This window comes from Homo sapiens, chromosome 19 (genome assembly GCF_000001405.40).
Source record: "Homo sapiens chromosome 19, GRCh38.p14 Primary Assembly".
In the NCBI taxonomy this organism is placed as follows: Eukaryota; Metazoa; Chordata; class Mammalia; order Primates; family Hominidae; genus Homo; species Homo sapiens.
Window position 1 is genome coordinate 38,606,067 of NC_000019.10, and position 12,757 is coordinate 38,618,823.

Consider the following 12,757-nt stretch of genomic DNA (forward strand, 5'->3'; position numbering starts at 1 on the left):
AATTCCCTGCCCTGGAGAGCCCAGTATCCCAGCATCTAAGGACCTGGCCTCCTGGCCCCCAGTGGCCCTGAGGCCCCAGCCTCCCAGCTCTGGCCCAGGGCCTTACCTTGGGGGGAAGTGGAGGAGGTGTGTCCTCTGCAGGGGTGGGGCTGAAACACAAAGATGGGTTAAATAGCTGGGGGGCTGGGGAACAAGGACTCGGGGAAGATGGCATGGTTCTGGGCTGGAGGCCCGGGACTGGGGTCTGAGGTGAGGAGGATTAAGGGATGACTGGTTCTGCCTGGAGCAGAGGATTAAAGGATTAATAGCCAGGCTGGACATAGTGGCTCATGCCTGTAATCGCAGTGCTTTGGGAGGCCAGGGCAGGATGGCTTGAGCCCAGGAATTCGAGACTAGCCTGGGCAGCATAGCAAGACCTTGTCTCCAGAAAAAAATTAAAAATTAGCCAGGCGTGGCAGGTGCGCCTGTGACCGCAGCTACTCAGGAGGCTGAGGTGGGAGGATTGCTTGAGCCTGGGAGGTTGAGGCTGCAGTAAGCCATCATTGCACTCCTGCACTTAGCCTTGGTGCCAAAACAAATCATGAGTTTGAGACCAGCCTGGACAACATGGCAAGACCCCATCCTACAAAAAAATGATTAGCCTGTTTCCAAAAAAAAGACTAATAACAGTAACAGCAACTCTTGGAGGTGGAGTGCTGACAGTGCACCACGGCTTTGCACCTTTACACCACCTAGTAACACAGGTGACATCAGCGCCGTGGCCCTGCTCTCCCTGTGCTGGCGCCACACACAGGCTGTCGCACGTGATGGGTGAAGTGAGTGCGCGCACCTGGATGGAGCCTGACTCGGCCTGTGGGCTGGGGAGTATGGGGGCCTGGGCTGACTGTTGGGTCTGGATCTGGGGCTCAGTATCTGGTCTTTGGGAGATTTCCAGGTGCCAAGGTTCAGCCTGAGGGCGGGCAAAAAGATAGGAAAAGCTGAGGGCTGGGGCTGAAGGCTGGAGGGTGGGTCTGGGGTGAGAGTGACATTCGGGAGGAGTTTGAGACTGGGATGTGGCTGAGGGTGCAGGGTCATGGAGGATAGGTGGGGTCAAGTCAGAGATTGGAGCAGCAGCACATTCTAGAAGGAACTGGGGTCAGCTCTGGGGTGGAGAGCAGGTGGGGGGCTGACGCTGAGGGTCAAGTCAAAAGATTGTATAAGAAGATGGAAGGAGGCCAAGTGCAGTGGCTCACACCTGTAATCGCAGCACTTTGGGAGGCTGAGATGGGCGGATCATGAGGTCAGGAGTTTGAAACCAGCCTGGCCAACATGGTGAAACCCCATCTCTACTAAAAATACAAAAAATTAGCTGGGCATGGTGGCAGGTGCCTGTAATCCCAGCTACTCAGGAGGCTGAGACAGGAGAATCGCTTGAACCCGGGGAGCCGAGGTTGTAGTGAGCTGAGACTACGTCACTGCACTCCAGCCTGGGCCACAGAGTGAGACTCCATCTCAAAAAAAAAAAAAAAAAAAAAGAAGAAGGTGGAAGGAAAGAAGGAAAGTGGGAGCTGGAGCTGGGATCAGGTTGGGGGTCAGGGGTTGGAGGTGAAGGGTTAAGGGAGGTGGGGTTAGGGAACAGGGCCTAGGTAGCTGGGCAGAGGGGCTGCATTGAGGGTCTAATCAGGGCTCAGGGCTCGGGGCTAGAAGAAAGGCAGGGGTGCAGCGGGGTCAGGAGTGGAGGAAAGGCCACATCAGGGGATTGTAGGAAGGTGGGGGCTGAGGTGGGGCCTGTGGAGCTGCAGGCAGGGCCTCACTTACATGTCCACGTCGTCATAGTCATCGTCAGACGACTCTGACAGTTGCTTCCTGAAGGGTGACAGGTATGAGCCTTGGGGGCCTTGTCCACATTCCAGCCCCCTCCCCATCCTCCCTGGGGTCCCTGACCTGGGGCTGCTGCTCCTGAGGTCTCGAGGAGGCTGTAGGCGAGCCTGTGGGGTAGGAAAAGGGTCAGCAGTGGCCTCAGGGAAGCAGGCGGTGTGGTGGGGAGTGGGGGGACAGCATCTCACGGTGTTGGCTGGGGGTCTGGTCTCCATTCCTCGGAGCTTCCTGAACTCCATGTGCCGCCCTAGGGTGGGTGGGGGAAGATAACCTGCTGTGAGCTGGGGGCAAGGGGTAACGAGATGGGTTTAAGAACAGAAAGAGTAGAATTGGCGGGGGGGTTGCAGTCAGGATCTTGGGGACTGCAAATGATCTCAGGGAACTGTCCCTTGGGGAAAGGGGTCTTGGATTACAGGGACTTCATTTGGGGGTCAAGTTTGGGATCAAGACCAGGTGCAGTGGCTCACGCCTATAATCCCAGTACTTTGGAAGGCTGAGGTGGGCAGATCGCTGGAACCCAGAGTTTGAGACCTGCCTGGACAACTGGGCAAGAACCCATCCCTACAAAAAATGATTAAAAATTAGCCAAGTGACTGGGCACAGTGGCTCACGCCTGTAATCCCAGCACTTTGGGAGGTGAGGCAGGCAGATCACCTGAGGTCAGGAGTTCATGATCAGCCTGGTCAACATGGTGAAGCCCCGTCTCTACTAAAAAAAAATACAAAAATTAGCCGGGCATGGTAGTATGCGCCTGTAATCCCAATTACTCTGGAGGCTGAGGCAGGAGAATCGCTTGAACCCAGGAGGCAGAGGTTTTGGTGAGCCAAGATCGCACCATCGCACTCCAGCCTGGGCGACAGAGTGAAACTCCGTCTCAAAAAAAAAAAAAAAAAAAAAAAAAAAAAACATTAGCCACGCGTGGTGAATAAGCCTGTAGTCCCAGCTACTCAGGAGGCTGAGGTGGGAGGATTCCTTGAGCCCAAGAAGTTTGAGGCTTAAGTGAGCTGTGATCACACCACTGCACTCCAGCCTGGGTGACACAGCAAGATCCTGTCACAAAAAAATAAACAAATAAATAAGTTTTGGGATCAGGAAGTTGGGGGCTCAATGTAGTTACAGGGTGTTTTCAGGATCCGTTTGGGTATTGAGGTTCTGATGAGATTTCTGAGGTCTCCCTGGGAACTCTATGGTCATTTTGCTTTTGTTTTTGTTTTGTTTTGTTTTGTCCTTGAGACGGTCTCGCTCTTGTCACCTGGACTGGAGTGCAGTGGCGCAATCTTGGTTCACTGCAACCTCCACCTCCCAGGTTCAGGCAATCCTCCTACCTCAGCCTCCCAAGTAGCTTGGACTACAGGCGTGCACTACCACACCCGGCTAATTTTTGTATTTTTAGCAGAGACAGGGTTTCACCATGTTACCCAGGCTCGTCTTGACATCCTGACCTCAGATGATCTGCCCACCTTGGCCTCCCAAAGTGCTGGGATTACAGGCATGAGTCACCACGCCTGGCCTCTACGGTCATTTTGTAGTTCAGGTGCTGATGAGATTGTCTGGGGTCTCTTATAGGATCAGATGATGCTGAGGGTCTCTGGAGGCCTGATGGTAGGGGAAGGTGGTCTCTTAGGTCTATTATAGGGTCAGGTGTCCCCAAACATAAGGATTCTCTACTCACGACAGCAGTCTGCATCTGGGATCCCCAGAGAGCTGGAGCGGTGGGTGGATCTGATCCGCCGAGGGATAGCAGGGGGTAGCTGGGCAGAGGGGCAGCCACGTCAGGGCTCAAGACCCCCAAGCAGCCTCCTACCCTGCCCGGGGTCCATCTGCTCTCTCCTGTAACCCTCTGGGCACACAGCCTTTTACCAAGCTCCCCATCCTCCCTCCCTGTTTTCCCCCTAAGAGAGGCAGCAGGAAGGCACTGCTGGCAGCAGGCACAGCCTGAGAAAGACCGAGAGGTCCCCAGTGCTCTTGTCAGCCAAGGCTCTCACCTCGGGCTCCTCATCCTCAATGTCCCCAATGGAGGGTCCTTTCCCGGGATTCTTCAGTTTGTCAAGAAGATCCAGGATCAGGCCTCGATTCAGCCCAGGCTGGGATACCAGTTGATGCTGGCGGAGGGAAGAGGTGTCCGTATCCAGAGGGATGGTGTGGACAGAGAGGGCTGGTGTGGACAGAGAGGACTGGTACAGGGCCTTGGGGACTGGACTAAAGGAATCTAGCTGGGGAGAAGGTGCCAGTGAAGGCAGAGGGCGGGGAAATCCAGGGAACTCAGAGGCCTGGGGTATTCTTTTTTGTTTGTTTGTTTTAAGACAGAGTCTCACTCTGTCACCCAGGCTGGAGTGCAGTGGCACAATCCAGGCTCACTGCAACCTCCACCTCCTGGGCTTAATTGATTCTCGTGCCTCAGCCTCCCGAGTGGCTGTGATTACAGGCTCGTGCCACCACGCCCAGCTAATTTTTTTTTTTTTTTTTTTTTTTTTTTTTTTGAGACAGGGTCTCGCCCTGTCACTCAGACTGGAGTGCAGTGGCACGATCCTGGCTCACTATAGCCTCCGCCTCCTGGGTTTAAGCAATTCTCCAACCTCAGCCTCCCAAGTAGCTGGGATTACAGGCGTGCGCCACTATGCTCAGCTAATTTTTGTATTTTTAGTAGAGACGGGGTTTCACCATGTTGGCCAGGCTGGTCTCAAACTCCTGACCTCAAGTGATCCATCTACCTCAGCCTCCCAAAGTGCTGGGATTACAGGTGTGAGCCACCATGCCCAGCCGACCGGTGGGAGTCTAAGACATTTTTAGGAATTAGAAGAATTTAGGTTTCTCAGAGCGGGGCTAGGAGAATTCCAGAGTTGTCTTGGAAGAGACTGTGGTTCCCTGGGGATTCAAGAGGACACTCAGGACAAGTCTTGAGTCCTTTGGGAATTTGTCAGTTCCGGCAACTCGGGGTATTTGGGAAAGGTCTGGGGTATAACCCGGAGGGTCTCTGGTGGTCGGGGGTGGTCCTGGGAAATTCTGAGGCACTAGGGACTTTGGAAAGGCCACGGGGACTCCATGGAACAAAGTTATCCATGTCCTCGGGAGTTGTGGAAGGCCCCAGGGAATCCTAGGCTGAGGATCTTGGGGAAGGGAGGGTTACACTGAGCATCTTGGTGGCGCTGGGTCGTTTCTTGGGACTCTTAGTCAGAGTGACTTTGATGAAGTTGTGGAAGGCAGCCGACCTTGGGAAGAAGAAGCCAGGTTCTGGATGAGGGGACCAGAAACCCTCCCATCAGGCCACCCAGCCCCAGCCCTGCCCTCTCTCACCCTCCCTCCTGTTACTCTCTCGTACCATTTGCCTTTTTCCTTCAGTCGGGGAGGCTGGTAGCCACTCTTGGTCATGAGGAAGAGAACTCTAGAATAGTAGGGAAAGGACATGGGGTTCAGACCCTCAAGGGGGCCAGACCTCATGGCTTGAGGGGTTCCTAGTAGCATTGTGGTCAGCAGAGGGCAAAGTGAGAAACAGCATGGAAGTGAGGTTCAGGTTTTACAGTGCACCAGGGTGCCTCTCCTAAGGGAAGCCATTTATGAAGTGATAGAGCTATGGCAAGGCCAGGTGTGGTGGTTCACGCCCGTAATCCCAACACTTTGGGAGGCCAAGGCGGGAGGATAGCTTGAGCCCAGGAGTTGGAGACCAGCTGGGGCAACATAGTGAGACAAAAAAAAAATTTTTTTTTTAAATAGCTGGGTGTGGCAATATGGGTCTGTAGGACCAGCTATGTGAGAGGCTAAGGCAGGAGGATCATTTGAGCCCCGGCATTCAAGGCTGAAGTGAACTACGATCGTGCCGCTGCACTCCAGCCTGGGTGACAGAGCCAGATCCTGTCTCTAAAAATAATAAGAATTAATTAATTAATTTAAAAAATGTCTGGGCGTGGTGGCTCACACCTTTAATCCCAGCATTTTGGGAGGCCAAGGCAAGTGGATCACTTGAGGTCAGGAGTTCAAGACCAGCCTGGTCAACATAGTGAAACCCCGTCTCTACCAAAACATACAAAAATTAGCCAGGCATGGTGGCGTGCACCTGTAATCCCACACTTGGGAGGTTGAGGTGGTAGAATCACTTGAACCCTGGAGGCAGAGGTTGCAGTGAGCTGAGATCTTGCCACTGCACTCCAGCCTGGGCAACAAGAGTGGGACTCCATCTCAAAAATAAATAAATAAATAAAAATAAAAATAAATAAATAGGCTGGGTGCAGTGGTTCACGCCTGTAATCCCAGCACCTCCGGAAGCCAAGATGGGCAGATAACCTGAGGTCAGGAGTTCGAGACTACCCTGGCCAACATGTTGAAACCCCGTCTCTACTAAAAATACAAAAATTAGCCGGGCGTGGTGGTGCACACCTGCAGCCTCAGCTACTCGGGAGGCTGAGGCAGGAAAATAGCTTGAACCCAGGAGATGGAGGTTGCAGTGAGCCAAGATTGTGCCACTGCACTCCAGCCTGGGCAACAGAGCAAGACTCTGTCTTAAAAAATAAAAAATAAAATAAAATAAAATATTAAATTAAATTTAAAAAATAGAGCTGCAGCACGTGCAAAGGTAGGCTCAAGTGGTGATCCCTGAATTGGAGGTTCCTGGGATGGAAGGCGGAAGCTGAGGGTGGGCTTTGGGCCAGGGCTAGACAGGATCTCTGGGCCTGGGGACCCCACGCCTGCCTACCTGAGAGGGTGCACATCAAAGAGCGGTGGCTGTAGCTCGGCCAGTTCGATGGCCGTGATGCCCAGGGACCAGATGTCACACAGCTCATTGTATCCTCCCTTCAGGGCCACAGCTGCCACTTCCGGAGCCATCCTGGGGGCAGACACGCTCAGAGAGCCAGAGGTGGCATGGGGACAGGAAGGGAAGGAGGGGCAGAGAAGGAGAAGGAGTTGAGGGGAGACGCAGCACACAGAGAGTCAGATGGAGAGACAGAGGGACAGGAGTAAAGACAGACACAGGCAGATGAAGACAGAGATGCAGACGGGGCGCGATGGCTCACGCCTGTAATCCCAGCACTTTGGGAGGCTGAGCAAGGAGAATGGCTTAGGCCCAGGAGTTTGAGACCAGCCTGGGCAACTTATCAAGACCCTATCTCGGCTGGGCACGGTGGCTTTTGCCTGTAATTCCAGCACTTTGGGAGGTCAAGGCGGACAGATCACCTGAGGTGAGGAGTTCGAGACCAGCCTGACCAACATGGTGAAAGCCCGTCTCTACTAAAAGTACAAAAATTAGCCGGGCGTGGTGGCAGGCGTCTGTAATCCCAGCTACTTGGTGGCTGAGGCAGGAGAATTGCTTGAACCTGGGAGGTGAAGGTTGCAGTGAGCTGAGACCATGCCACTGCACTCCAGCCTGGGCAACAGAGCAAAACTCCGTCTCAAGAAAAAAAAAAAGAACGAAAAAGAAAAAAAAAAAAAAACAACACCATCTCTACACAAATTTTAAAAATTAGCCAGGTGTCATGGTGCACACCTGTGGTCCCAGCTACTTGGGAGGCTGAGGTGGGAGGATCTCCTGAGCCCAGGAGTTCTAGGCTGCAGTGAGCCGTGACTATGCCACTGCAATCCAGCCTGGGCCACAGAGTGAGACCCTGTCTCTAAAAACAAAACAAAATGAAAAGACAGAGAGGCAGAGACAGAGAGTGAGAGAGACAGAAACAAAGAGACAGAGAGCACTGCAAACTGAGCTAGAGGAAAAAGACAGAAATGGATATGGAGGGACAGAGAAATCAAGATAAAAATCAACACAAACACCGAGAGCAATGGCCAGAAAAGGGCACAAAGAGAGAGGAAAATGGAAAACTCAAGCGACACCCAGAGAGAATGAAAGAATCTTCCAAGGAGAAAGGACGAGGCAGGGGAACGGAGCCAGGAAAGAGGATCCCGGGGAACCAGGGTAGGAAAAACCACTGACCCCCACTCCACCCCTAGCTGCCCGCTGGGCGCCACTCACCAGTAGGGTGTCCCAATGAAAGAGAGGCGTCTGGCCAGTGTAGCCCCAATCTGGGCCGAGATGCCAAAGTCAGCTGGAAGCAGAGGGAGACATAGTGATCTGGGGTCCACTGCGCTTCCGGCCCCCCAGTCAGCCCCCCTGCTCAACCCCCAGCCTTACTCACCCAATCTGACCTCCCCAGCATCATTGATGAGGATGTTAGCTCCCTGGGAATGAGAGGGGATATGGGAGGCTGCAGAGACTCTCCCCAGCCCAGTGCTAGCCCACTCCGCCAGCTCAAACTACCCTGATCCCTGAGCCCCTGAAATGCCACTCCCATCTCCTGGGCCCCACCCCCCAACAGCACCCCTACACCCCCAGACCACCTTGATGTCCCTGTGTATCTTCTTCTGTGAGTGCAAATAGGCCAGTCCCTGGGGAGAAGGGTGGACAAGGGGACAGTGAGTGTTTGGGGGCTGGAGTGGGGCCACCCTCCCCTCCCATCCCCAGAATCCCCAGGCCTCTCCTTACCTGGAGCACTTCCCGGCAGACATAGCTAATCTGGAGCTCTGACAGGGAGCCTGTCACTGCAAAGGTCACCCCGGCCAGGCCAGGCATTGGATGGGAGCCAGGGAACCTGGGCTGGGGAGTCCTGCCCCCCCACACCAGCTAAGAGGGTGCCATAGGGAGAGGGGAAATAGGATAGGACCAGTGGGAGGGGGAGATGGTGGGGTGGTCAGTGACAGAAAGAGGCAGCAATGCAAATAAAAGAGGCCAATAGGCCTGGCGCAGTGGCTCATGCCTATAATCCCAGCACTTTGGGAGGCCAAGGTGGGTGGATCACTTGAGGTCAGGAGTCCGAGACCAGCCTGGCCAACATGGTGAAACCCCATCTCTACTAAAAAATACAAAAATTAGCCAGGCATAGTGGTGCATGCCTGTAATCCCAAGTACTCAGGAGGCTGAGGCAGGAGAATCGTTTGAACCCAGGAGGTGGAGGTTGCAATGAGCCGAGATCGTACCACTGCACTCCAGCCTGGGCAATAGAAGGAGGCTCTGTCTCAAAAAAAAAAAAAAAAAAAAAAAAAAAGGAAAGAAGGAAAGAAAGAAAGTAAGCAAGATAAATAAGTAGAATATGATATAGTTCCTCAGACGCTGATAGACAGCAAGAAGAAACATAAAGCAAGAAAGGTGCGCGTAGGAGGAGCTATGACATTTCACAGAGGTGGTCAGTCAGGGCTGCTCTCTGAAGGTGACAGTGGGTGAAGACATGAGGGCTCCCACTCTGAGTGGGACCAGCCACAGCAAGTGCAGGGCCCCAGGTGGGATAGTCCCTGGTGGGTCTGGAAAGCAGCAAAGGGGGTGGGGTGGAGTGGAGGGGGAGGAGGAAAGTGGGAGGAGGTGAGATTGGCCAGCATGGGGTGGACCCTGATGAGGAGTCTGGGCTTCTCCTCCGAGAGAAATGGAAGCTGTAGGAGGGCTCTGAGCAGGGGCGTCATGTGACTTTGCAAAATAAGGAAAGGCACAGAGACAGAGAGAGACAGAGAAACGGAGACAGATCATACATGAGACATACAAAAGGAACAGGATTGAAAAAAACAAAAAAATGAGACAGAAGACAAAGACAGAGGTCAGAGGCCAAAATATGGGGAGACAGACAGATTTAGAGAGAGACCCAGAGGGTAACGAGGTAAGAACAACACACAGGCAGAGAGACAGAGAGACAGACAGACAGAGAGAGGCCGTCAGACATCAGGTCTGACAGACCAGCTGTGGGATTCACTTCCTCTCTTTGGGCCTCAGTTTCCCTCCTGAGGACTTCTCAATGACGTCCTTCCTTTTCTAACATTTGAGGTCTAGGGCTGGAAGGAATCAGAGGTTTTCCGCCTCCCAGAATCAAACGATTCTCCTGCCTCAGCCTCCCGAGTAGCTGGGATTACAGGCGTCTGCCACCACGCCCGGCTAATTTTTTGTATTTTTAGTAGAGGCGGGGTTTCACCATGTTGGCCAAGCTGGTCTTGAACTCCTGACCTCAGGTGATCCGCCCACCTCGGCTTCCCAAAGTGCTGGGATTACAGGCGTGAGCCACCACACCAGGCCCAGCAGTTATATTAAAAAAAAAAAAAAAAAAAGCCAGGCACAGTGGCTCAAGCCCGTAGTTTCAGCACTTCGACAGCTGAAGGCAAGAGGATCAGCTCAGCCCAGGAGTTTGAAATATGGCCCAGAAAGACAGTTCCTGTGAGATACACACACAGAGACGGAAGAGGTGAATTTGGGTCGGGGTTGGGGGGTGGGGATAGGGAGGGGTGCTTGGGTCCCGTTGTCCTTTCTCTAACCTTGGTAGATGTCCTGGAGAGAACCAGCCCCACAGAATTCCATGCAGATCCAGAGTTTCTGCAACCTGCAGTGGTTCAAGAGTAAGAATAATAATAGCAGTAAATACATTATTATTTGCAGGAAAGCCCCTGGTTTGCTTCTGTCTTGTTCTAGTTCAATAAGAACTTTAACGTAACAGCTCTCATCACTCCACCTCTCCTTGTCTACCAGAGTGAGGTTGTTTCATTCCCATTTTACAGACAAGGAAGTTAAGGCTCAGAGAGGAAATGTGAGTTCCGGGGCAAGTCAACTCAAACCTAGGCCTTTGGGCGGGACCCCACTGCCGTCCCACGCCAACCTAGGAGGCAGGGCAGAGATCTCACGGGTTGTGGAGATTTGGAGGGGACAGAGGGGCCCAGGGCACCTGTTCTGGGGAGCAGAGGTCATTATTGGGGCATCTGGAATATTAATTTGGGGATCAGGGAATTTAGGAGTTTATATTAAAGGAGCAGAGAGTGAAACTGGGTGAGCCAAAGAGCAGAATGGTGAGAGCTTCGTTTCAAGGGAGTTGATTTCAAATTCAGTTACTATGAAGAGATCAATTTGGGGTACTCTTGGTCAGAAATGGGAATTTTAGATTGGAGATTAGATTAGAGGCTGCTCTGGTCAGAAAAGTGGGACTTAGGAGTGAGGATCATGGTAGGGTTAGCCCAGTCAAAAATGGGGGTCCAGGATGGGAGGTCGGGTTATGGTGAGAAATGGAAGTTCAAGGTTAGAACTGAGGGTGCCAAGACCAGGCGCGGTGGATCACACCTGTAATCCCAGCACTTTCGGAGGCCGAGGCGAGTGGATCACAAGGTCAGGAGTTCAAGACCAGCCTGGCCAAGATGGTGAAACCCCATCTCTACTAAAAATACAAAAATTTGCCGGGCAGGGTGGTGAGCGCCTGTAATCCCAGCTACTCGGGAGTCTGAGGCAGAGAATTGCTTGAACCCAGGAGGCAGAGGTTGCAGTGAGCTGAGATCATGCCACTGCACTCCAGCCTGGCAACAGAACAAGACTCCATCTCAAAAAAGAAAAAGAAAAGAAAAAAAAAGAACTGAGGGTACCCCCATCAAGAAATGGGGACTCCGGGTTAGGGGCTGGGCTGGGTGCCAGGGTGGGTCTGAGGTTCATCACCAGAGATAACTCCCATGGTAGGCCACGATGTTGGCGTGCCGGCAAGTTTTCAATATGAGGATTTCCTTCTGAAGGGTGGAGACATCATCATCTGTGAGGAGGGCGGGAGAGAAAAGGCAGCTCGCATGGGGAGAGAGCTACAGGGGAGGTGATCCCAGTGTCCCAGGAGGCGAAGGTGGGGATGTGGGGAAGGAGCTCCATGTTCCCTCCTCACCAGGCTCCATCTTCACCATCTTCAGTGCCACCAGGTCCCCTGACACCTTGTCTCGAGCCTTGCAAAGGGGAAGTTGGCAGTCAGGCAGGCTCCATTTGCCAGAGTCCCTCCACAGCATCCCTGAGTCAAGGTCAAGAACTGGGACCCCCTCTTGCAGCCTCCTCCCTGCCGAGGGCTTGCCTTAAAGGTCACTGGTTGTAGGGTGTTGGGGACAGAGGGGCTTCCTCACCTTAAAGACTTCCCCATACGTGCCGCCACCCAGCCGCTGTAGCAGGTCATAGTGGTCCCGGGGGTCTCTATTGAAAATGTCAGGGTCCACGACGTCCATCCCTGGGGGCCTGAGCTGGGCCTGCGCCCAGGGGCCAGCAGGGCCTCAGGGCTCAACTTCTGGCACCTCCCTCCGTCCCCAGAAGCCCTGCACCCGCCTTGCCTCCGCGGGCTGTGGCCTCCCCCCTCCTCACTCTCGCTTCCTGCCCCAGCTGCACTGCACGACTGTGCAACGGGCTCCACCCCCCCGTCCCCTGGGCTCTGAGAGCCTCTGAGGGGCAGCTTGTCTTGGGACCCAAGGGACCACCCTCAACCTCCAAGGCCCAGGGCTGGATGTAAATGTGATGCAAATGATCTTAATCGTAACTGGGTTGGAGGGGGGTGCCTTAGAACCCCCGCCCCCGTCTCCTAGGTAGTGTCTAAACCTCTGCTGGGTGCTTGAAGGTTTGGCCACAACCCGAAGGCGGCAGGTCTGCAAAGGGATGGCTATGCAGTGTACATGCCTGTTCACCTGTCACATACATGCACTTGGGTTACCTCCTCTGCACTGCGCAGGCGTGTAGACGTGCATCTGCCTGGATACCTGTGTGCACAGTACACACGTGGATGTACCCAGGACATATACCTCCACATGCATGGCACATAACTGCATTTTGTAGGCCTGCAGTGTACAAAACCTATACATAATATATAATTCATGGCAGTACAAATGGGACGCTCGCCCTCAGCTCCAAGACCGGAACCTAATGGAGACGGGGCGCGATCCGGCGAAGTCCAGGAGCCCTCACCCCAGCCCCTGCCCGGCAGAGCACAGTAGCTTTGTGGGACCCTCCTCCTGGAGCTGGGGACCAAGGGCTGAGACTTGAAACTGGAGAGCTCAGGATCCTGCACCAGGCGCCCAGGCCTGTGGCAAGAGGGACCTCAGAACACCTCCCTCGGAACTTGGCCATGGCCTAAACGTAAGGCTGCTGCGTGCATTCCCGCAGAGC

General features: G+C 53.7%; 1 protein-coding gene across 3 annotated transcripts in view, besides 4 other annotated features; it reads right to left on the bottom strand.

The window, feature by feature from the left end:
* The window catches only part of MAP4K1 (mitogen-activated protein kinase kinase kinase kinase 1), a 30,313-nt gene extending 18,426 nt beyond the window's left edge, over positions 1–11,887 (bottom strand). For 2 of the 3 annotated variants that reach the window (NM_001042600.3, NM_007181.6), the window contains exons 1-17: positions 11,731–11,887; positions 11,502–11,559; positions 11,288–11,378; positions 10,129–10,193; positions 8,324–8,379; positions 8,179–8,226; positions 7,977–8,019; positions 7,814–7,886; positions 6,545–6,676; positions 5,177–5,239; positions 4,985–5,066; positions 3,843–3,959; positions 3,530–3,608; positions 2,046–2,104; positions 1,924–1,967; positions 1,798–1,845; positions 107–149 (exon numbers count right to left, since the gene is read on the bottom strand). In NM_001042600.3, the coding sequence (NP_001036065.1) occupies positions 107–149; positions 1,798–1,845; positions 1,924–1,967; positions 2,046–2,104; positions 3,530–3,608; positions 3,843–3,959; positions 4,985–5,066; positions 5,177–5,239; positions 6,545–6,676; positions 7,814–7,886; positions 7,977–8,019; positions 8,179–8,226; positions 8,324–8,379; positions 10,129–10,193; positions 11,288–11,378; positions 11,502–11,559; positions 11,731–11,829 (1,200 nt within the window). In that variant the 5' untranslated portion in view covers positions 11,830–11,887. Of the gene's footprint in view, positions 1–106; positions 150–829; positions 950–1,797; positions 1,846–1,923; positions 1,968–2,045; positions 2,105–3,529; positions 3,609–3,842; positions 3,960–4,984; positions 5,067–5,176; positions 5,240–6,544; positions 6,677–7,813; positions 7,887–7,976; positions 8,020–8,178; positions 8,227–8,323; positions 8,380–10,128; positions 10,194–11,287; positions 11,379–11,501; positions 11,560–11,730 lie in introns of all 3 variants that reach the window. The other variant, XM_011526404.2, reaches the window with a different exon arrangement.
* Positions 1,404–1,904: an enhancer, noted in NCBI's record as "H3K4me1 hESC enhancer chr19:39098110-39098610 (GRCh37/hg19 assembly coordinates)". NCBI's record gives its function as "activates a minimal SCP1, AML or CMV promoter by ChIP-STARR-seq in primed H9 embryonic stem cells {active_cell/tissue: H9 hESC(primed)}" and the evidence as "EXISTENCE:reporter gene assay evidence [ECO:0000049][PMID:30033119]".
* Positions 1,905–2,405: an enhancer, noted in NCBI's record as "H3K4me1 hESC enhancer chr19:39098611-39099111 (GRCh37/hg19 assembly coordinates)". NCBI's record gives its function as "activates a minimal SCP1, AML or CMV promoter by ChIP-STARR-seq in primed H9 embryonic stem cells {active_cell/tissue: H9 hESC(primed)}" and the evidence as "EXISTENCE:reporter gene assay evidence [ECO:0000049][PMID:30033119]".
* Positions 6,633–7,133: an enhancer, noted in NCBI's record as "H3K4me1 hESC enhancer chr19:39103339-39103839 (GRCh37/hg19 assembly coordinates)". NCBI's record gives its function as "activates a minimal SCP1, AML or CMV promoter by ChIP-STARR-seq in naive H9 embryonic stem cells {active_cell/tissue: H9 hESC(naive)}" and the evidence as "EXISTENCE:reporter gene assay evidence [ECO:0000049][PMID:30033119]".
* Positions 12,411–12,460: an enhancer, noted in NCBI's record as "active region_14579". NCBI's record gives its function as "activates an Ori minimal core promoter by ATAC-STARR-seq in GM12878 lymphoblastoid cells {active_cell/tissue: GM12878}" and the evidence as "EXISTENCE:reporter gene assay evidence [ECO:0000049][PMID:35858748]".